At 40.9% G+C, this 22,318-nt stretch overlaps 1 protein-coding gene across 56 annotated transcripts in view; it reads left to right on the top strand.

Annotated features, from left to right (window-relative positions):
- The window catches only part of KCNMA1 (potassium calcium-activated channel subfamily M alpha 1), a 768,207-nt gene that overhangs the window by 596,897 nt on the left and 148,992 nt on the right, over window positions 1–22,318 (top strand). For 33 of the 56 annotated variants that reach the window (XM_017016222.3, XM_024447990.2, NM_001322832.2 and 30 more), the window contains 3 exons: window positions 1,275–1,384; window positions 13,021–13,089; window positions 21,813–21,899. In XM_017016222.3, the coding sequence (XP_016871711.2) occupies window positions 1,275–1,384; window positions 13,021–13,089; window positions 21,813–21,899 (266 nt within the window). Of the gene's footprint in view, window positions 1–1,274; window positions 1,385–13,020; window positions 13,090–15,454; window positions 15,467–21,812; window positions 21,900–22,318 lie in introns of all 56 variants that reach the window. The other 23 variants (NM_001271518.2, XM_024447989.2, XM_024447985.2 and 20 more) reach the window with 1 other exon arrangement.

The following is a 22,318-nucleotide window of genomic DNA, read 5'->3' as shown; positions in this document are numbered from 1 at the left end:
GACTACTTAGAAAAAATGCATATTTTAATGAAATTTGGAGCAAGACCTCTCTGAAACTACATTTTACTTTTGTGATACTCCTTTTGAAATTTGGAGCAAGACATCTCTGAAACTAACATTTTACCTTTTGTGATATTCCTTGGGGGGTCAGAAAAATCTGTCATTTTGTGCAAAGTAGAAATATACTGTTTCATTATAATATATACATGCTTATTATAAAAGCCTTCAGACAATACAGGAATCTATAGAGGAAAAAAAGTATCATTCTACCACTCAGAGGTAACAACTGTTAGTGTTTTGATATAAAGCTTCCTAAATTCTTTTTATGGCTTTACAAACATTCAGATAACTATAGGCCATCTAAAAAAATAGGATCAGATTATGTACACTATTTTATAATGTGCCTTTTTACAGAATTTCTGTATGAACAGGTATACATTTTCATTATAATTTTTAATTGCTTCTTAGTATTCCATTGTATGTGTGCCATTTACGGTTATTTCCCATTTTTCATGAATAGAAAGGATGTTCTTGTATATTTTTTTACCTCTGTTTTCCTGTTTCTTTGCTATGAATACTTCAAATGGAATTGTAGTGTAAAAGACTGTGTACTTTTACAAATTTTGATAATAATTGCAAAATTGCTCTTCAAAACAGTTGTATCAATTTCCTTGCCCACTAATGTGGGTGAGTGCCCATGTCTCCGCACCATTAGAAGTCATACAGATTAAAGACTGTGCACGGTGGCTCACACCTGTAATCCCAGGACTTTGAGAGGCAGCAGCAGGAGGATCACTTGAGGCCGGGAGTTCAAGACAAGCCTGGGCAACATAGCAAGACTCTGTCTCTTAAAAAAAAAAAAATTGCCAGGTGTGGTGATGCACACCTATAGTCCCAGCTACTCCAGAGGCTGAGGCAGGAGGATTGCTTCAGTGCAGGTGTCCAAGGCTTCAGTGAGCTATGACCCACTGCACTCCAGCCCAGGCAACAGTAAGACCCTGTCTCAAAAAAAAAAAAAAAAAAAAAAAGAAAAAGAAAAAAGAAAAAGGAAAGAAATCACACAGGTTAAAAAAGTGTTTTAGAGGGCACACACTTTATGAGTTTAGGGTTATTGAAGGCTTTATATGGGTGCAGAGGCCGTGTTCCTGATTGCTGAAAAGGTCACCATTATCTAACCAGTGCATTCATTTGTTTGCCTAAGAGTGTAACTCAGGTTTCCCTTTTACAGCCCACCGTCATATTTTAAACTCTCCGCATGTGTTCCTTTCCTTTAGATTGAGGAAGACACATGGCAGAAATACTACTTGGAAGGAGTCTCAAATGAAATGTACACAGAATATCTCTCCAGTGCCTTCGTGGGTCTGTCCTTCCCTACTGTTTGTGAGTAAGTGACCTTTAACTGGATGCTCTTTGGCTTTCAGGGATATTGAATGTGCCCCTTGCAAGGAAGCCTCCCACCTCTGCTGGGTACAGTTGGAGCACTTGACAATTGCCGAGGGTATCCCGTGTGCTCGGCCCCATGTGATGAATAGGAGGGTGGGTCATTACATGGCCTCTGCCTGGGGAATTTCCACTGGCCCCACTTTTCTTGACAGGCCTGAGAGTCTTGGACTTGAATTCATCATTTATGCTAACTTATGAACTACAGTTATCCTGCATGCCTTCTGTGATGTAGACACATTTATGAAGAGTGGCATAAACCCCTGCCTGTCTGATTCTAAGAGGGCAAAACAAATCTTGCCAGCCCCTCAATGAAAGGAATTTTAATCTGTCTTCCCATCAAGTCTGATCATAGAGACAACAGAGAAGCTACTGAAATAAAGCCATTCAAAGTGTTTTCACCCTTTGCTGAGGAAATGTGGAACCAAATATACAGAAGGAGGCCTTGAGCCCCCACATAGACAACTGCCATGTTATAATAATAACAAGTCTTAGCTTCTCTTTCCACTGGCTCAGCAGGATGGATCAAAGCCACCCGCCATGGCCACTGCAGGTAGAATAGATGGTCACCTATGGGGGATGACCTCAAGAGCTCCAGGTGTCTGCCGTGAGGCATGACAGTGCCTCAGATTCCTCACTTAGAATCCTCATGTTTGCAATCCCACCACTTTTAGAAGCTGAGGTGAGAGGATCACTTGAGGCTAGGCATTCAAGACTAGCCTGGGCAACACAGTGAGACTTTATCTCTACAAAAAATAAGGAAAATTAGCCGAGTGTGGTGGCACACACGTATGGTCCTAGCTACTCTAGAGGCTGGGGTAGAAGGATTGCTTGAGCCCAGGAGGTTGAGGCTGCCCAGGAGGTTGATTACGCAACTGCATTCCAGCCTGGATAGCAGTGATTGTATCTCTAAAATAATAATAATAAAAAATCTCAGATGTTGAGTTTAAGATGAACGGGGTCTTTGTGCCCTCTGAAAACACAAACTCCCTGAGGTTGGTGAAACATTAAGCCTATTCTCCTGACACCTTAGCAAAGGATTTGACAAGGATTCTTCTCACTGGGAAGAAACAGGGGTATCTGGGAGCTCACTGGGCTGAGGAAGAAAAGCCATTTGCTTGCACTTCCTGCCTACATACAAACCAAAAGAGAGGTCTGAAGACATCGAAACAAAACTGATCAGGCTTTACCACAAAGGAGGGGACAGTCCTGGGTGCCCTTGGCCTCCTCTGTATCACGGTTTTCTTTCTGTATGCAGGAGGGAGGGAGGCGGAGCGCTTGGTGGCTTCGTGTTTACCTGGAGCCTCCTGTCACTGAACACAGCAGGTGCACTCTGTCAGTCCCTGGGCCCAGACCCTAAGCAATCCAAAATGGTTTGGCTGTTTACTGAAATTTCTCACCCTGTCTCTAAGCGAAAGTTTTAATGCTAAATGGACTGGAAAAGTGAATAGGTAATTGATTCGGAAGGAGTTATTTTCTGAAAATGGATGCCCTATTGTGACTCCCATGTGTGCCTTTCTTTGAGAGCTATTTCTCTTCCTGCCACTGAGAGGAGTTAAGCATTCAGAGGCATTGGGTCCTGGAACACTGAGGCTGTCCCAGGGGATCTCCCCCTCCCTGGAGCTTGGTCTGCCTAGGATACAAAGCCCCGGGGGAAAGCAGGCTTTTTAACAGAAGCTAGTTTTATAAAAAGGCAATTGAAGCCTTGGCTGTCTAATGTGGTGGTGGTCTGAGCACATAGCAGAGCTGCCAGCGCCTGCGGGAGTCTTATGTTGGTGAGGGTGTCAGCAGGGGCTCCGTCAAGCCCCCTTCCTTGGCTGTAGGGTTTCCCTGGCCTAACTGGTGTTTGTATCTAACAAGAGTGCTCCCTCCCCAACCCCCAGGCCCTTCTTGCTTTTCCACCCTTCTCTTACTCTGCTCTTGGGAACTGAGTCCGTTCCTCTTATGGGTAACTTGAAGGGTCAGGACTGCTCCCCCTACAGGCTCTAACTGGGATAGTCACTAGGTATGTTTGACTCACGTAGATATCAACTAGTTGCTGATATTTCCAAATAGTAGTATGTCACGTAAAAACTAGATTTCTGGATTCTTTAGAAAATCTAATGTGACAATGCAAGACCTGCATTTCCTCAGAATGCTAACTGGCTCCAGTTTGATGTAGCAAAGGGGTTAGTATAGTCATGTAGTTACTCCTCCCTGATATCTTAAACCAGGCCAGATTTGCACATAAATCCCAGGCCTGGCCCTGTGGTTGTGTGAGTTTGCCAACCCTGACCCACTGGGTGGTGTGGAACTTCACTGGCCTTCAGCCAGCTCAAGAGCTGGCACTAGTGGCTCTGTGAATATTCCCTTTGATTGATTTTTGTATTTAGAACATGTCCCAAGAAGGAGACAAATTGTTGTCAGATAATTTAGTATTTGCTCAGTAAAGTTTCTGGAATATATATATATTCCACTTCTGATGTGAGTGAGAATGTGTACAACTTAGTGCTATTATTCGTTTAATACAATGATACAGCAGAGGTAGAAATGATCAATAAAAGAAGGACATTTAATGAGATTTAGGAACATCCCAAAACATTGAAGCTCTCCTCAAGCATTTGATTATCTGGAGGCTTAATTATCTGTGTTTTCTACTTTAAATTAAAGAAAAGCCATAACTCAAAGTTACCAGCAGTTTAATGATAACACTCTTCAATTCAGGTTAATTAAAGCACAGCCGTAATTAGAGTGTAGTGTTGTATATCACTGGGCTGGCACATAAGTATTTTCATTACAGTAAGAATTGGCTATTCAATTTCAAAATGACATAAAGGATGCCAAAATATATTTTAAGCTGGTTCACGAAGAAGAAAAAGAATTGGGGAATATTCTGGGTATCATAAAGCACAGATAAAATATACAGATTTTCAGAGCAGTTTCTGTAATTATGCGCTGCGCTAAAACAATATGCAGCCAATAACATCTTAAAGCATGGAAAGAAATAAATGTGCTTTTTCTCTAGGCTGGCAAAATGCTCCCTTGCAGGGTGGGATTGGGAGAGCTTGGAGTTTTCTCAGAAGCTAGGGGAGTCATTCTATGAAAAGATATGGGAGCAGGATGTAGGGGTGAAATTTGAGATTGTTTCCCAAGAGAACAGGAAGGAGAGCAAAAGAGGCAGTGGGGGCAGAAGGTCCTGCCACCCCGAAAGCTATCTCTATCAATTTCAAGCCAAGAGATTCTCAGTGTAGCCTTCAGTCTGTGGCCAAAGGCCCAAGAGCCCCTGGCAAATCACTGGTGTAAGTCCAAGAGTCCAAAAGCTGAGGAACTTGGAGTGTGATGTTCAAGGGCAGGAAGCATCCAGCGCAGGAGAAAGATGAAGGCTGGAAGACTTCACAAGTCTAGTCCTTCCACTTTCTTCTGCCTGCATTATCCTAGCCATGCTGGCCGCTGATTAGATTGTGCCCATCCAGAGTGAGGGTGGATCTACTTCTCCCAGTCCACAGACTCAAATGTTAATCTCCTTTGGTAACACCCTCACAGATACACCCAGGAACAATACTTTGTATCCTTCAGTCCAATCAAGTTGACACTCAATATTAACCATCACAGATGCTTACTCCAATCTCCTTCTCTGAAATAGGAGTGCTATGACTTATCTGTCAGTACGGGTTAATGTCTTTTCCCCTCTCCCTCCTCTCCTTTTCCTTCTACCTTTATCTTTCTCATTGAATATAATAGAAGCACTTAGAAAGAAAGAAACACATTGCGAGCTATATGTGTATCCAAGTTATATTTACTTTTAACCTTTAGGAAATTCTCTTATCGGTTAATCACCGATTAATCAGATATTTAATGAATTGGGATATGTGCACCATTGTGCCAAGCTTGGTGCCACTTCTAGAGGAAACTGCTACTAGATTTGATCAAATATATGTGCATGAAAAGATTAATAGCAATACTTACAAATGCCAACAAATGCCAAGTAAAATATTCAGTTTCCCTAGGGTGGCTGCCTCCAGAGTTTACTGTCTGGCTAAGGGAAATAGTACCCATCGTCAGAGAGATCTAGACACCCACTGATAAGTGCTGTGGTAGATGCACACAGCTGGAATAGAGATGCTGAGAGTTATAGGGACATCTCCCTGTAGGCTGGGGGGACATGGGGGTTCTTCCTGGAAGAGATGACATTTGAGCTGTGTCTTGTCGGGAGTTTTGATTCAGATGGGGGATAAAGAAGGAAGAGGACATTCTAAGTGGTAGGGAATCTGGAGGCTGCGCCACCTGGTACCATAGGGAGCTCTCTCAACACCTAGGTCTCCGAGATTTTCCAGTTACAGCAAATTGCTTTCCTCTTTAGATGAGACAAAGAGATGCATCAGATTTATTTTGACTTGTGATTTTTTTGGGGGAAACTGATAACAGTGTTTTTGGTGAGCACTTGCGAAAGCGAGGGTGCACTCCCCTACCCCCAGGGAGGGCAGAGGGGAGGGGAGGGGCTGGACAAGGAGGAGCTGCAGGAAACCATGGGTTCAGCAGTTGGGCTGCCTCAAGAACACTGTGTTCTAGGTTCTGAATCTCACCGGGAACCTATTAGTCAGTCATTCATCATTTGCAAAATATAAAAGCTTAATTGTATCAGGTTTTACAGCTCAGAGGGGATTAGGACAAAAGATGTATTTAAAATATGGTATGTGTCTCTCTCTGTCCCTCTGCAGCTGATGGAGCAGTTAAAATTCAGGTTTGATGTGGAGTATTTAATGCCTGGGGAACTTGGGGAACTCCAATCAGATCTTCCTCAGCTGTGCTGAAGGGCAGGAGTTCTGTCCCCAAGCCCAGGGGCAAGTATGGATGCTACTGTGCTGGTTTAAGAGTGCAGGGGGATTCTCTTTTCCCTCCTCTACCTCCCTGCATTCAGTGCTCCCCTCCTAAATTCAGAAAATCATGCTCTCAACCTGTGTTATTTTGCACAGACAGATCTTTAAAAAGAAGCCGCTTGGGGAAATTTAAAATTTAAGACCGCCCGGCGAAAGCTGGGCCTCTTGCCCAGTGAAAACTGTAGCTAGTTTAACTTCAGTTCTGTGAAATCATTAGTTTTTGGAGAAAGACATCCAAATTTGAACATGGAGCAGAAACCAGGCAGACCCAATTGTTATATGATAGATTTCTTTAGCCTGGCTGCAAAAATGAGCATTTTAAGTGAATTTATGGAGAGGCTCAGATCTCTCTCTTTTTTTTTTTTTTTTTTTGAGATGGAGTCTCACTCTGTAGCCCAAGCTCGAGTGCAGTGGTGTGATCTTAGCTCACGGCAACCTTGTCCTCTGGGGCTCAAGAGATTCTCCTGCCTCAGCCTCCCAAGTAGCTGGGACTAGAGACGTGTGCCACCACAACCGGTTAATTTTTTTGTATTTTTAGTAGATACGGGGTTTCACCATGTTGCCCTGGGTGGTCTTGAACTCCTGAGCTCAGGCGATCCACCCACCTTGGCCTCCCAAAGTGCTGGGATTACAGGCGTGAGCCACCGCACCTGGCAGATCTCATTTTTTAAAAAATATTTTCCCCTCACAGAACTGGCTCTATTCATCCACTTGATTGGGGAGTATTGTAATTAGGGTTGAACATATATGAATAGAGATGTGAATACAGTATTGGTGGTTATTTCTACTACAGAGACCCAAGAGGTGACCTTCTATGAGCTAGTGAATAAACCGTTGACCCTAAAGTCTATTGAAATCCTCAATAACAGGCTACTGAGGCAGTGGTGGGTCCAGAATTCTCTACAGAAGGGTCAGGGAAGGAGTCCTGTTGGAAATGGGGTGGACGCTTGGGCTTTGACTCAACACTGGGTTCTTGTAGCAAACACATGGTTTTTTCTTTCATATTATGTTTCTCATTAATAATAATAGCAAGGCTCTCTAAAAATGCAGTTGTTCACACTTTAGGCAAAAGTTAATTGTCTGTATCAAGTAATGTATTTATAAATTCTAGTGTCTTAGGTGTGCTAGTGGAGATTGTGTGTGTGTGAGTGTGTTTGTGTGTGTGTGTGAAAGAGAGAGAGAGAAGGAGAGAATAAGAGAGTGGGAGAGAGGGTGGGGATATTCTGAAACCTTCCCACTCCACTCCTATCAAAGCTTCATAGAGAAAAAGAGTCTTAACATTTCCATGAACATTTTAAATCACTTCTCTTTTCTTGGTGCTGAGTCTTGGAAATCCGGATGTTTCAAAGTTTCTTTACCTGGATATTTCGATTTCTAGCGGCTGTCATTTTAAATTAAAGCTCCTGAATGTGAATCTTTTCCATTCCAGCCCCTCGATCCAGAAGACCTTGTTTCCCAATGTGCAGTGTTTGTATCCGTATCTACTTCAATTGCATGTGCCAACCTGACATTCCCAGGGGCCCTCTGGATAGCTGAAGAGGGGCTGGTGCTTTGGGTGGGGTTGGGTTCAGGGGGAATGATGACAGTTGCTTCTTTCATCCTCCCTCACCTGACTTGTGGGGTGAGTCCTCTTCAACAGCCCCAAACCTCCTCTTTGTATTTTCTTCCTGAAGGTGCAAACTCTATGACAGGTTTCCATGTTTAATTAACACCAGCAAGTAATGTTTCCAGTAAAGGGGGCTGATTTAATGGCAGGAACAATGTATTTCCCTCTGGGTAGGCAGAAACAGTTGGACTCTAATTCTTAAGAGCCTTTGTTCAGGAACATCTGGGTTGAAACTACTGTAGTTAACAGATGATGTTGGCAGTAAAAAAAAAAAAGGGGGGTTGGGCTTTGTATAATGTCGTTGTCAAATTTGGTAGACCTTTACCTAATAATTATCAAGAAAGCAATCTAACTTGTTATTATAACAGTTTTATTGCAGATTGCTGGCTTAAGACCTTTTTGTGACAAGTGGCATTTTTTTTCTTGAAAAAAGAAGTCATTTCTATTCCCCTGTAATTATTTTTGCAACCAGCAACAACTTCCTGCGTTGGACATACTGGGGCATTTTATTTTAGAAACCAATAATTAAATTATTGCTAGCTTATGGCTGATTTTATCCCATTTATCACATTGTGAAGGCTTTCTTACTTCCTTTTTTCCCCTTACCTCACCTCACCCTGCTTCCTGATTTCACACCAATTCTGTATATGTTGAAACACTGTAAGTTGAGTAAAGGCAGAATTAGAATAAGGATTAGATGGCTAATGCTCATTCTTCTTTACCAAAAAATGGTGTTGAGTGATGCAAGTAAATGTTTAACCAGAGAACATCAGTTCTGGGTATACTGAAAGTATATATATTCTTGGGAGTGTAAGGGGTACATAAGGGTATAAGAGGGTCTCTAGAAGGTCCCAAGGACAAATTGTTGTATCTTAGAATTGGACTTGCATCTTGGCATTGTGGATTGAAGGCAAAAATTAGATTCCCAGAGCATATCACTACTTTTATTTCCTTCTGTATCCTTCCTTTCCCATCTGTCTGCTTCTAACAAATAAGACAAGCTAAGAAGCAGCTTGTTTCATGATTCTATACTCACTTCCAAGCTTTCTCTGCATAGACTTTCCTAGTTTGCCACTTTATCTTTTCTCCATCCCTCCAGCCAGTCATGAGATTCTACTCCCCATTCATACATGCATTTATTTATCCAGACTTTACTGAAGGCTTACTCTTTGAACTTTGCAAAATGCCAGTGAGGCAAAGCATGCATCCTGTACAGGAAAAACTCAGTCTAGAGGGGAGAGATAAGCAAACAAGTGATTACCACACCAGCTCCCCTGTTCATTCACCTTGCTCTGCTCTTCCCCAATGGACACCTCCAACAGAGGCTGCATCTCTGCAACAGGATGCAGTCCTTAAGCCCAGGATTGTGACATTGGCCAACTCTCTGTGGCAGGATCTAACAGAAACGTGTGATTTGAACACTCACAGAGGGAGCCATAGCTCTTGCTTCCAGTGTAAATCATGGTGTATTATACTTGATTTGTATTTTGCAATATCTAGAGGATACCTATTATAGTAGGGATTAAAAACTTAGATACCTATAGGGTTCAGGCAGTTAGCAAGAAAGAATGAAGAGTGAGGCCATCTGAGACAATAGAGAGTGGTGGGAACTGTGGCACATTGGAGAACAAACATCCCATCCAGAGGGATAAGTGCTTCACAGCTGCACTCCCTTTTAGCATGTGGAATGTGGTGCCAATGTGGCCCTATCTGATTTTGCAAGGAAAGCTGAAAAGCCAGTTTCTATGTGAATTCACTTGTTGGCATCTATTTACAGTTTTTTAAAAAACACTGTACTTACCAAACAGAATGTGTCTGCCTGTTGGGCTTGTGACTGCCACTTCATTTCCTCTCTTCTGATGAGAAGCATCTGTGCAGCACATTGCGTCAAAGACTCGATTTCCACTTTTGGCTTTTTACATAAAAGTCAATTGACCTTGACCTAGTTGCTCTCCTCTGTTTGGGCTCAGTTTGTTATCTGCATAGGAAGGGCAAGATCAGCCAATCTTGAAGGGCTTGAGTCTGAAAATCTGTGTTGTGGCACGGCTTGCCTATGTTCTCTCTGTTCACATCATTCTATCCCTCTCCTTTCCTTTGGCCAGTGGGCCACAGCTTGTTTTGGGTCAAAGGACTTTTTAAAAGGGGCTTCTATAAGGCATTGTAGAATCAGCTTGGGTATGGATTTGAATGTTTTGAAGTTATGGATTTAAAACTGGAAGAGGACTCAGATCTGCGGGTCCATCCCCTATAAGGTTAAGGAATGAATACAAGGCCACATAGACCTTAGGACTTTCTTGTAGAGGAAACTCTTTTCTTTTTATATCCAGTTGGTAGATGGTACTGTAGTAGCTAGGAAGACATAATTCACCATTACTACGAACTGTTACTTCCCTTCTTACCAGCGGGATTAGGTTTATAAAAGCAATGAAGATCTTTGATCCCATGAACTACCAGAGTCCCAAAGTGGACTGGTCATTGCTCATAGGATATTAGCAAATTAACCTTTGCACGATCCATACTAAGTTTAAGATCAGCCTTCTCCCTGATGTTTTTGTATTTAGCTACTATTTACATTAGAAAGTGGTTACTTAATTTGGTAATTTGGTTCAATAAACATTGCATAAGCTATCTTATTTTTTAAAAAAACAATTTAAGCTCCAGAAGTAACAGTCCCATAAAGGGTGCATGTTAGCAGTGCTCTTTGGGACATAAATTAAGGATGGCATTTTCCAGCTGTAGTTGGATATGTGTGTTGGTGTTTCAGCAAGCTGCATAATCAGCACAAAGCCCAGGTCATTAGATTCTGCTGGCAGGAATCAGAAAACCTGCAAATCACCAGGAGATCCCAGATATGCCTGGATAGAAGTGGTCCTTTGACATCTGACTGTCTGCTGAAGGCAGTGCTGTGGACCACAACCTCACATGTAGGAATGAGCAATTGGTTTCACTCCCTGGAGAGCATGAGGCCTTCAGCAGCACTTTCCTTGAAAGCAACACATCCCCCTATCCAGCACATCTGATTATGTCACTTTTCTCTTTTAAACCAACTAAAATCCCCCAATTCCACTTATAATAAGCTGTAGACTCCTTGCTCTGGAAAGCAAAGACCTCATGATCTTGCTCCCCCCTCATTTCCTGACCTAATCACTGTCACGCTTGACTTTGCTCACTCAGCTGCAGTCTTACTGAATTTATTGCTGATCCTCAAACACTCAGAGCTCTTCCCTGCCTCAGGGCCTCTGTGCTTGCTGTTTCTACTTCCTAGAAAGCTCTTTCCCCATATCTTCTCATCATGCTGTTGTGCTCCCTGCATCCTCAGAATGGTCCTCCTGAACCATCACAGATGATATACCCCTTCTGAGTTACTCTTTATATTCTTAGGTTGTTTTATTTTCAACATAGAACTTGTCATCATCTAGGAATTTATTGTTTATTCACTTGTATATTTTCTTATTGTCTGTCTCTCCCAATACAAAATAGGCTTCACTGGAGATCAAGATGTAGGGTATCCTGCCAGGTATTAGCTAGAGACCTTAGGCATGTTACATGGACTTTCTGATCCTTGGTTTCATCACGTGTAAAATGGAGCTATCAATAGAAGTCTGAATAATTGGGGTAATAGCTTCCTCTTAGGGATATTGAGGGGATTAAATTGACCCACAAGGAAGCCTTCCCCACACTGTGACCCAGTATCTTATCCCCCTTACAATGCTGGAGCTAAATAAATAAGCATCAACTCATTGTTCAGTCTATCAGTTAATCAATATTCTATTATTCAAAATGGTAATGCTAATTGTAGACACTTGTCATACATCATGTATGTAATTATTTTGTTTATGTGAGCTTTTATTCTGTAAGTATGTAAGTGTATAGGTTCATCTAACTGTATTGTGCCATTTACATATTCATGTATTTTTATATATTTGTTCTATTTACATGTTCATGTCTTTTTATATGATATTATTTATTGATCTTATATCTTGAAATATTCTTTGAAAAGCCATTTAGAATGCTAGTACCATATTGCACTGTACTTTATGGCCTTATTATTGGACATTTAGGTTGTTTTCTATTTTTCTACTCCATATAAATAACACTTACTCTGAAAATCTTTAAGCATAAACATTTTACTGCACCTTTTGTTATTTTCTTAGACTTGAAACCCAGTAAGTGGAAACCATTTGTTTGTTTAGCTTCTCTGTATCGGTGGGTCTATTCACTATGCACTATGGAGAATTCCAAACAAGTCCAGGACTCTTAAGGAAGTTGCTCTGGTTAAGGAGACAAAGTTCAGACACATGAAACAATAGGGAGCGACCACAGCCAGTGTAAAATTGACTAAAGGCTCAGTGATTTGGTTACAGACAAGGTGCTGGGAGAGTTTTGAGAATAGAAAATCACAGGGTAGCAGTAGCTGGAGAAGACCCACTGCTTGCAAGATTAGAGTTGACGTGGCCTGTGAGGATGGGTTGGGAAGAGAGAAGAAGGGATCGAGAGTGGGGAACGCACAAGGGAAGGGATGGAAACAGGAACAAGCCAGCCTCAAAGCAGTCTGCTCTGCAGTCGAGAGCACCAAGCAGATGAGGTGAGACAGCTTGGATGGAGCCAGGAGTGACAATGCCATCGTCATGTGCTGGGCACTTACACAGAGGCCAAGTATTATTACCATCATTGCAAGCACACAGGGGTCTGCTCGGAACAACAATATGAGCCATTTGTACAAAAGACCGAAACGGAATCCAAATAACAGGTCCAGCTGGTCCAAATCTTTCCCTCCCCCTGTAGTTAACATTTTACTACCCGACCGAGTAACTAATGAATCTGGCCCAGAGTAAATCCCCAGGCACAAATTCCTGCTTGGGCTCTGTGTCTAGACAGCCAGACCTGAGTGCAATTTGCACTTTGAGCATCCAGCACCTTATCACTTGCAAGAAATCAGGTTTAATAGGGAAGATGGGGAGGTGTTGCTTCCACCCCCTCCCTTTGGCACAGTGCCGGTGGAATGAGGATCCCCTCGGTAATGACTGCATTAGGAGACCGAAAGATCGTAATAGTGTGTGTTATGTGGCTCTGGTCATTCAGAAGAACTGATTGGGAGGCTTCTCCATCTCATTGCAGGCTGTGTTTTGTGAAGCTCAAGCTCCTAATGATAGCCATTGAGTACAAGTCTGCCAACCGAGAGAGCCGGTAAGTTTGCGGTGACCCAGCAGCCAGCTGACACTTTTGATGGTGAGAGTGCGTTCTGAGAACGGTCGGTTCACTTCTGCTTTCTTGTGCATTATTTATCTGCATGGAACCAGATGTAAAACCTCTCTGACCCTAGAGCACATTTCGAGGCATGCCCCATCAGACACTGCAGCTTCTATGCCAGACCAGCCTGGCACCCAAAGCCCTGCTGGGCATTCAGAGAGTGTTTCTCCAGGGAAGAGGGATGAGTCCTCAAAATATCTCCACCTGATCATGCCGACCTGGACTTTTCACCTTCTAAGTATTAAACCAGAACTTAAAACCCCTTTTTACTGCTGTGAGCAAAAAAGCAGGTGGACTCTGGCCTCCTTTACAGCAGCCTTGGGGTAGAGCTGTGAGGGGAGACACCAACTCTCTTGATAGCCAAATTACAAGCAGCCTATTGTGTACCATATGTGCTTCTCCCGGTGCAACCAAAATCCAGGTGGCAGAATATCAGCTTCATGTAAATGAGCCAGGAGAGTGGAGCTCAGAGGCAGGAGCTCTCTTTATTTATTTATTTTACACTTAATTATGTGCAAATCAGACTGATGAGGGACTGGGTCTGGTTGAAATAGATAACATCCCAGTCAATATGTGAGTTCACACTGGAGGTGGGAAGCATCGTGCTAACAAGAAATTTTGCTGATGGAGTACTGTACACCTTACAGATAAAATAGAGATGATTTTTTTGCTCCCCAGTTCTTGTCAATAGTTTTGGAAGAAAGAGAGCTCATTGAGAAATGCTCAAGCTTTTGTTCTCTGAAATGACACCCACAGTCTATTCCTCTATAGTTCATATTTTTGATCCTGCAGATGCCCAAATGTAGAGTGCAGATCCCCTCCAACAAACACCTTAATAACTGAGCAGAGTACAGGGGAAGACTAGACGTTTCCTTTTATCATCATTTAAGGAGTTTTCCTTATCTGGGTGAATAACCCAATACAGCCAGACTTTCAAGTGTATAGTCTGTGTCTATGACAAGACAAAACAAAAGAAAAGAAAACACTGGATTGTAAACAGATCAATCCAATGTTTTCTGTTACCTTAACTACCAGATCAGATTGCTCACAAAGTCAATCTGATCAAATGTTAAGCTATTTTGAAAACCCAAATCAACCAAAAGGAAGAAAAAAATGGTAGATTTGGTGGCCATATGTAGAACATGGCTGTAGCAGTTAACAAATATGTAGATAGATAAATATTTTCTTTTTCATGTTGGCAAAGTGAAGAATATTGTTTGCAAAAACTGACAGTCCTGATTATTAGTTGTTCAGCAGATGAGGTGGAATTTTCTGGGGTTACTGTTTACCCATGTTTTTGCCAATACTCACTTGTACCTGTGTAGGGGAACTGTATGTATCCTGGATTTTTGCAAATGATATTCCCCGTGTTGCGAAATCGCAAATCTTTGTGTAACTCAGTGTTCTCTATTTACTTTTGTGCATCTTTCAAAAAAAAATGTCATGATGTGGGTGATGCTGATGCTGCATAGTGTTTTTCGACCATTCTGGAATAATCTGACTGCAGGAGATTGCACCCTGAACCTTGAGCAGTTGTCTTTCACTTGTTGCCTTTTGGTTCCAAGGAGAGAAAAAGAGCGAAAGGCTGTTAATGGTTCATTGTGAACTCAATGTCACTATTCTAAGAAAACTAACTCAGAGCACTCCCTGAAGATGAAACTTTTCTTGGATAGGCCCTTCAATTGAGTCACAATTCTGAGATGTTTTCAACAAAGCCATATTTGTAGATATAGTTTTTAGTATATATATATATATATATATTTTTTTTTTCTTCAGAAAAGGGCAAAAAGGACTTGTTTGGCTTTGTTTGGGCTTTCTTTGTGCAGTTGCCAGCTTTAATTCTCAAATGTGGCTTGGTCTCAGTGTGGAAGCACATTGGTTCTTGTGGAAAAAGGTGTGTTTGAGGGAATGTGGATCATGCCTCTGAGAAAACACAGGACTTATCAAACACAATATCCACGTGAAAACACACATTTTTTAAAATCTTCCCTGAGATAATAATTTTAATGTTTTTCTTTATTTAAACATGTCCCACTTCTTTCCCTCTCACATTTTCTAACTGACTGGGTGTGAAAATTCAAAGGACCTGTTTCTCCTTCCCACCTTCTTTAACCTGTGTTTAACTGCCTTTGTTGTTGGTTTCACCCCATGATACTGTTTTCATGCTTTGCCAAAAAACCTTGTTTTCACATGCATCCTTCAAGTGATTTGAAACAAAGGTTTTATTCCTTCTTTCCTTCTGGTGTCAGTCGATTTATTATCAAATTGTTTGATTTTAAATTCTTTTCTTGTCGTTTTGCAGAAGCCGAAAGCGGTATGCACTCTTCGTTAACTTTTCTTCCAACCTCCACCCTCTATCTTCACTCCTAACCACAGGACTAACCATTTGCCAAGAATTCAAGAAGAGAGAGATTATATATATGTATATATAATCTCATTCCCTTGTCTGGTGTATCTATATTATATATGTGTGTGTGTATATATATATATATATATATATATATATATATATATATACACACACACCCCTCTCCAACTAGAGTACATAAATTGGAAGTAGCCTATTTCTGTTCCTGTTTGATTTGTTGGTTCTTTTGGATGACGCACTAACTTCTTTGCAGGAAACCTAAGAAAGGAAAGGCACACTCCTGTTTTCAGTCATGGCACCAATAATGGGAACAAATACTATTAAAGTTGAACAGGAGGATGCTTCTCTCCAGCCCTTTGTGTCTGTTTCTGTATTGTCCTGACGTGTCTTGATGTCCATTGCACTCTAGTGCCATTTTGTCTACATACCACTTCCACATTCCCAGTGACCTCCTCCTCCCTGTGTCGAGTTTCTTGTCTATAGAGCAGAATTCCTGTCCTTTTATCCACAAAACAGAGACCAAGCCCTTACACTTCTATTTTTCCTTACATTTATTTTGGTGATAACATTTTGAATATTTTATTTCTTGGGCAGTGCTCAGTATAGTCTTAGAACACTGCTATTAAATTGCCAGATTATCACACTTGATTTACAGAGTTAGTACTGTTTATTGAGACAGACTCATGGCTTTTTTTTCCTAGTGTGTTTGGGCATATTTCTTAATATGAAGTTTCTCAATTTTCACCATGTGATTTCACCCTGTTTTGCTGCTGTTTTACATTGCATGAAGCATGACTAAATCATCATCAATGGCATTTAAAAAAAAACTTTTGGGTTAATAGTTCCAGGATAGCTTTTCAATAATGTGTTATCTAAGACAATATTGTTGAAAACATACTGTTGAGATGCCTACTTGTTCATCTTTTCAAGTTACTTTTCTCTGTGATTGTAATCACTGTCATGTGTTTGTGTTTGTAATTGTGTGTGTGTGTGTGTCTGTGCGTGTGTATTTGTCTGTATCTTTTTCCAAAATCTGATTCTTCTGTTGTTTTTTTGAGTACATGTGTATAAATAGAGGTGGCTTCCTGTCAGTTTGGTATTATTGATATGATCCAACTGCAAGAAGTTACTGCAACACTTTGCATCTTAAAGGTCCACAGTGGTTGCACCTCTGCTGTTGGCTTTTGGCCTTTGAGTCCTTTTATCTTGTGGTGAAGGCATGTTGTGATGTAGGCATGACTTGTCCTAAGTATACCAGAAAATGATTTGGCTTGCTCCCAGAACCAAATATCCAGCATTATCCTTTCTAGATCACCTCTCTGTTCCCCATCCCATATGGCTAATATTTTTTTGTATGTACGAAATATATTTGAAAATGCCATTTCTAAAGTTACTGAGATGGATGCAGGCTGAGTAAGTCCTCACCAGTATCTCTGGTGGACCACAGTGGCAGTCATTTGAGTCTGACCAACTGGGAGCAATCTTTATCATGCTGTCTGTGTGTAAGTGAACTGGGCTTAAGTATATTGACATATGAAATACACAACTGTGTCTCCAATGGTATCCTAAAGTAAAAGTGTGTGTGTCTAGTTGTGTGGGACTCCAGCAGCAGCATGTATTTGAAAGCCCAGAAAAAATGAAAAGTTCCAGAAAGGTGATAAGATTTGAGATGTGGGGTTTCTCTGAACTGTGCCTGCACATAGCCTGTAAACTACAAATGCAGTCATACTCTCTGAGAGGGGACACGGATTGGTTCAAACAAAGTTCCAACTGAGAGTCATTGTATATGAACTTGTGTGATCAAAGAAGCCTCTTCTCAATGGCATGATTCATCTGGGCATAGCATGAATGGAAACCCTAAATGGTTCTTATTTGCTTGCTTTAGTTAATGAAGTCCCATTAGCTTGCTAGACACAAATATAATTACTACGTTATCAAGCACAAAGTATGTTCTCATATAAGTCATGCTATTTTTTAAAAATTGCCTGAGGAATGGTACATTACACCTACCAAAAATGAAAGGGAGAGGAGAGAAATATATATGTATCATATTTACCCATAATGGATAGAAGTTTCCTTAAACAATATCTGTTTCACTTGAATTACGAATCATAGGTTGTCTTCAGAAACAGGAAACAAGTAAAGTTTACAATGATTGAAGACAAAACTAGATGTCCCCCAGTTATGCACAAGTGGTGGAGAAAGGAATGCATTACTTTCCTCCATCAAGCTGCAGTCTTCCAACCTGACCAGTGTTTAGCGAGAGATACCCAATGAAATGTGATACAACTTGAGACGCGGTGCTCCTCTCATGGAGGGACCTGATAGAGGCATTTCCCTGCGGGACTGAGCCCCGCTAGCCAATTGCACGTAGATGTGTTTTATGTCTAGGAACCCATATTTCTCTTTGAAGTTTTGCTTTCAATGTTGAAATCAATTGCCCCAACTTTGCAAGTGGCAGGCTGTTTACATATTGGGATATTTACATATTCATACTTAACACATCTGAGAGATTGCTAGATCATTGGCCAATCCCCTAGCCCTAGCAGAGGTGTGGTCACTCCTTTAATCGGCCTGACTGATGAGAATTGTAGCTTGTTCTTTGAAAGAAAACTGTGACCTCCTTTCCACTTATTTGTGAAAAAAAGGAAAACTTATGGAACTGAGGCTTTAAAAACTTATTTTTTTTATTCATTCAACAAATAGTTGAAATGTGCCTGTTGCGTGCAAGGCTCTAAGCCTGCTACTCCAGGAAACTCAAAGGTAAATAGAATGTGATCATGTTTTGTACCCCTCTACTCAACTGTGGGTTCCTTACAGAAAATACGTATTTGCTCCATGTAGGAGGTGAGTAAACAAAGAATAAGTCGAGACTTAAAACTAGTCTGAGAGCAAAAGAAACAGAGACAGCAAGGGACCACACCAGCCCCGTGCTTCCAGCTGTCACTGGATGTTTTCTGTTGAAACCAGTAAGGTCAAAGAAGAAAGGATAATTTATATGTTCCTTGAAATGAGGGAAAGTCCACCTCTGCCAACATGTCCTTGTTGGAATTCTGTTAATGGATATATGGGCTTTTTCTCTTAGAGATTTTCCTGATTCTTCACATGACACATGTTGAAGTTTATCTCTGATAAACTAGTGAATTATATAAAGTTGGAGCTAGAGAACTGATTCAGAGTGGCGCACAGAGAGAGAGACTTTTGGCAGTCAGTAGAACAAAACAAACTTAACATTGGATACTCTCCTAAAGAGATCAGAGATCCTTGGAAAAATTTATGTGTTCCTATTAGAAGGTCAATAACGAATTCTAAAGATAGTAGGCAAAAGGGGGAGAAGGTTATCACTATCCAGAATCCTTGTCTTTTTATATTTTGAAGAAGACGGGGATTAGCATTTTATTTAAACTTTCTAGATTTGGAATGTGTATAGAAGACTTAATGTCGAAAATATTAAAAACAAAAACAAAAACCAGTAATGTAGTTTCTGGTGCTTCAGCGCCAAGAGCATCTTTATGTATCTAGATTTCTTTCTTTCATTATTTCAAGGACTGGATCCATTCTTTAGATTCCCACCCAGAAGGCTGCCTTAGCCTTAGCTTAGTATCTGCAAATGGTTCTGCCTTACACCTCACATGGGGATGATTTAAACCCCCTCACCCCTGTTCACAGGGAATAAGAGGGCATCCTGGAATCCACATGATCTGTGAGGTAATTAGAGATGCTTTCGATTCCTTACACAATCAGCCATAGATTTAAGGAACACAGGATACTTCACTGTGCAGACAAAAGTCAGTCTAAATTAGCCCATCACCAGATATTGTGCAGGGATAAAATGCTTTGGATTTCCTTGCAGTCAGTGGAAAAGTCTTTCAATGCCAATAGGGCACCTCCTGGGTCATTTATTAGCAGCAGGGACAAAGTGGAGGGTGATGGTGCTGTGAGGATTTTTTTACCTCTCAGTTTTATAATCACCTAGCTCACTGAGAGTAGCAACTAAGAATTTAAGACCTTCTATGTGTCAGTCATGTAGCACATAGTACATACTTTAACTCTCTTAGAGGCATTGTAAGCTAGCGATTATTCACCCATTTTACAGATGAGAAGTGTGAGGCTTACCTGCATTTGCAAAGCCAGGACCCATTTTACAGATGAGAAGTGTGAGGCTTACCTGCATTTGCAAAGCCAGTGCATGGAATTTTTTGTGTATGTCCTTATACATTATTCTGTAGCGTACAGTTCTTTACCCTATAATTTCATCTCATTAATGGGCAAGGTATTTTGATAAGAAGACTGTATTATATTCCATGGGGTCAGCTAGAGAAAATCTGTGATAACTTTGTTGAAAATGAAATACACTTTGGATTTTTTTTTGCAAGAATTAAAAAAAGGAACAATAACCCACATGCATTGAGCCTTCTATACATCATCTCTCTTAATTCTCTAAAGATTATTGTTACCATTATCCACCTCTTGTAGGTAAGAAAGTTGAGTTCTAGGGATATTTAGTAACTGGCCCAAAGTCAAACAGCTATTAAGTGGTAGTGTTGGAATTTGGACCCAAATTCTGATTGCAGAGCCAGGGCATGTAAAAACTGCCTTGCAGGAAAGGAGGTTAAAAAAATGTGCAAAATTTATAATCCTGCCTTTCTAAAACATCATACTGAATTGGCTTTGAAAGATAAATTCATCTAAACTGTATGAGCTCTAACACTTCACCCTCGTGATTGCATGAAGTCAGAGGGCTTGTTATACCCATGTGAAGAGTTGGCGGAGGGGTCATTAGGAGGTGCTTATGGAGAGCCGCTGCTCAGTGCAGGCCGTGCTATTAGTGTGGACTGCTGCTGTCTGATTTGGGAGGAATCTCACTGCTGCCTGTGGTTGTAGGGCAGAACAGTTAAATCTTCATAGCCTTTTGGTATTATTGAGTGTTAATAATAGTCATGACACAAGTACAGTTTCCTCCTGTCAGGTATTGTTATAAGTAATGGTAGATGTTCTTGTGACCACAAAAAATTATTTTGCAATAATGATCTGCTCGGAGGTCTCCCAACCAGGTGAACAAAGGTTCACCTGGGTCCTTCCTGTATGACTACAGACGTATCACTTCATGACCACAACACTTCTCTGGAATGGTTTATCAGTAGGAAAAAAGATTATGTGTTAATTACCATCCTCTATATTTTGATTGTTTGGGGCAGCTGAGAACTTCCTTTAGACTGATTCCAAATATCTATTACCTTATTAAGCAACATCTTTTCAGAACAAGGAATACCTCTGTTGTATCTGTTGTTTTATTCAGAATCCCTGAATTCAGTATCCATTAAGCCTGAAGTCTTTTCTCAGTCTCTGCATCAGACAATCTTGTATTCTGCTTTTGATCTGCAGAAAATTAAACTTGTTTGTTTCATCCATTTATTAGATTAGGATACATTTATCTCTTCTGTCAGTCCAAACACAACTTGGTCCGCTAATCTATTTATGCCACTTTGAAATAGGACAATGTATATTTAGGTTCCCACTTCTCTGCAGGGCAAGTTTTTTTAAGGGGAGGTTTGCATTTGTTTTCTCAATTTGCCTCAATTAGGACATGCTAGACACACATCTTATTCAAACACCCTGTACGTTTTTATAAACAGCAGACTGGAATTGTTAAGTATATCCAACTGCTGACTTAAAAAAAAAAACTGTTTGGGTAAATCCAATTCTTCCTATAAAGGCTGTACATGGAATCAATTTCCATGTCCTTATCAATGTCATGAAGACGTTCAGCTTGCTTCCGCATTGGTTACGGGTGTCTTGTACCATTCCCTGCGGTAATATGTGGTGTGTGTACATGATGTTTATGTATATCTATAGGGGTCCCATTAATGCTCTGTCATTTAATGGAAAATTGTTGTAGCAATAGCTTCATCAGGCCAATAATGCTTCCGTGTTGACCACCAATAGCAGTTTCAAAAGGAATTTATTCTGATGGACTTTGCTTCAAATCATGTGCCCATGATGGCAGCTAGACTGCTCCATTATATAAACCCAGGCCCTAATACCTTGATTTGCTTTGATTTCCTCAACTGGGAGCATGCCAGCCTGGGAAGTAAGCAGTAGTGCTTAATGATGGCATTATCCAACTAAATGTATGGGGCAGTGGACATTGGACTCTGGACAAAATCTTTGGGGAAAGCTTTAGACTAGTGGGCCCCCTATAAACACAACAGTATGGTGTAGCCTTCAAGGTTTTATTCAGAACATGACCTCACAAATGTATCTTCTCTGTTTGTTTTTGTTCACTGAGCAGTATATTAATTAATCCTGGAAACCATCTTAAGATCCAAGAAGGTACTTTAGGATTTTTCATCGCAAGTGATGCCAAAGAAGTTAAAAGGTAAGAGTTTATTTTCAACTGGCTTTCTTTCTGGCCCGGCTGTAGACACCTTGACCCACGGAAGTAGGCAGGCTTCCATAACCCCAAAACTCCTTAACATGTCTATGGCCATCAACTGGTGTAAGAAAAACTTCCACGGACTCCAGTTCATGTAGTGAATTCCACATCTTTGAATGAGAATAATAAAATTTTAGAACTAGGAAGCCTAGTTACCTGCTCATTTATTTTGTGAGGGAGAAAATGGGGGCTCAGAGAGCTGAATGACTGCTCGAGGTCATCCTGATTCCTGATGATTCAGAACAACATAACAAGACAACTGGCTCCTTATCTAGTGCTCTTTACTTAATATTATCTGGGAAATTTACTTGAGAATTATCAGTTTTCTACTACTCTCCCTGCCAAATAGAATTTCAAAAGGT

This window comes from Homo sapiens, chromosome 10 (genome assembly GCF_000001405.40).
Source record: "Homo sapiens chromosome 10, GRCh38.p14 Primary Assembly".
In the NCBI taxonomy this organism is placed as follows: domain Eukaryota; kingdom Metazoa; phylum Chordata; class Mammalia; order Primates; family Hominidae; genus Homo; species Homo sapiens.
The sequence above is the reverse complement of the archived record's forward strand: the minus strand, read 5'-3'. Positions and strand labels throughout refer to the sequence as shown.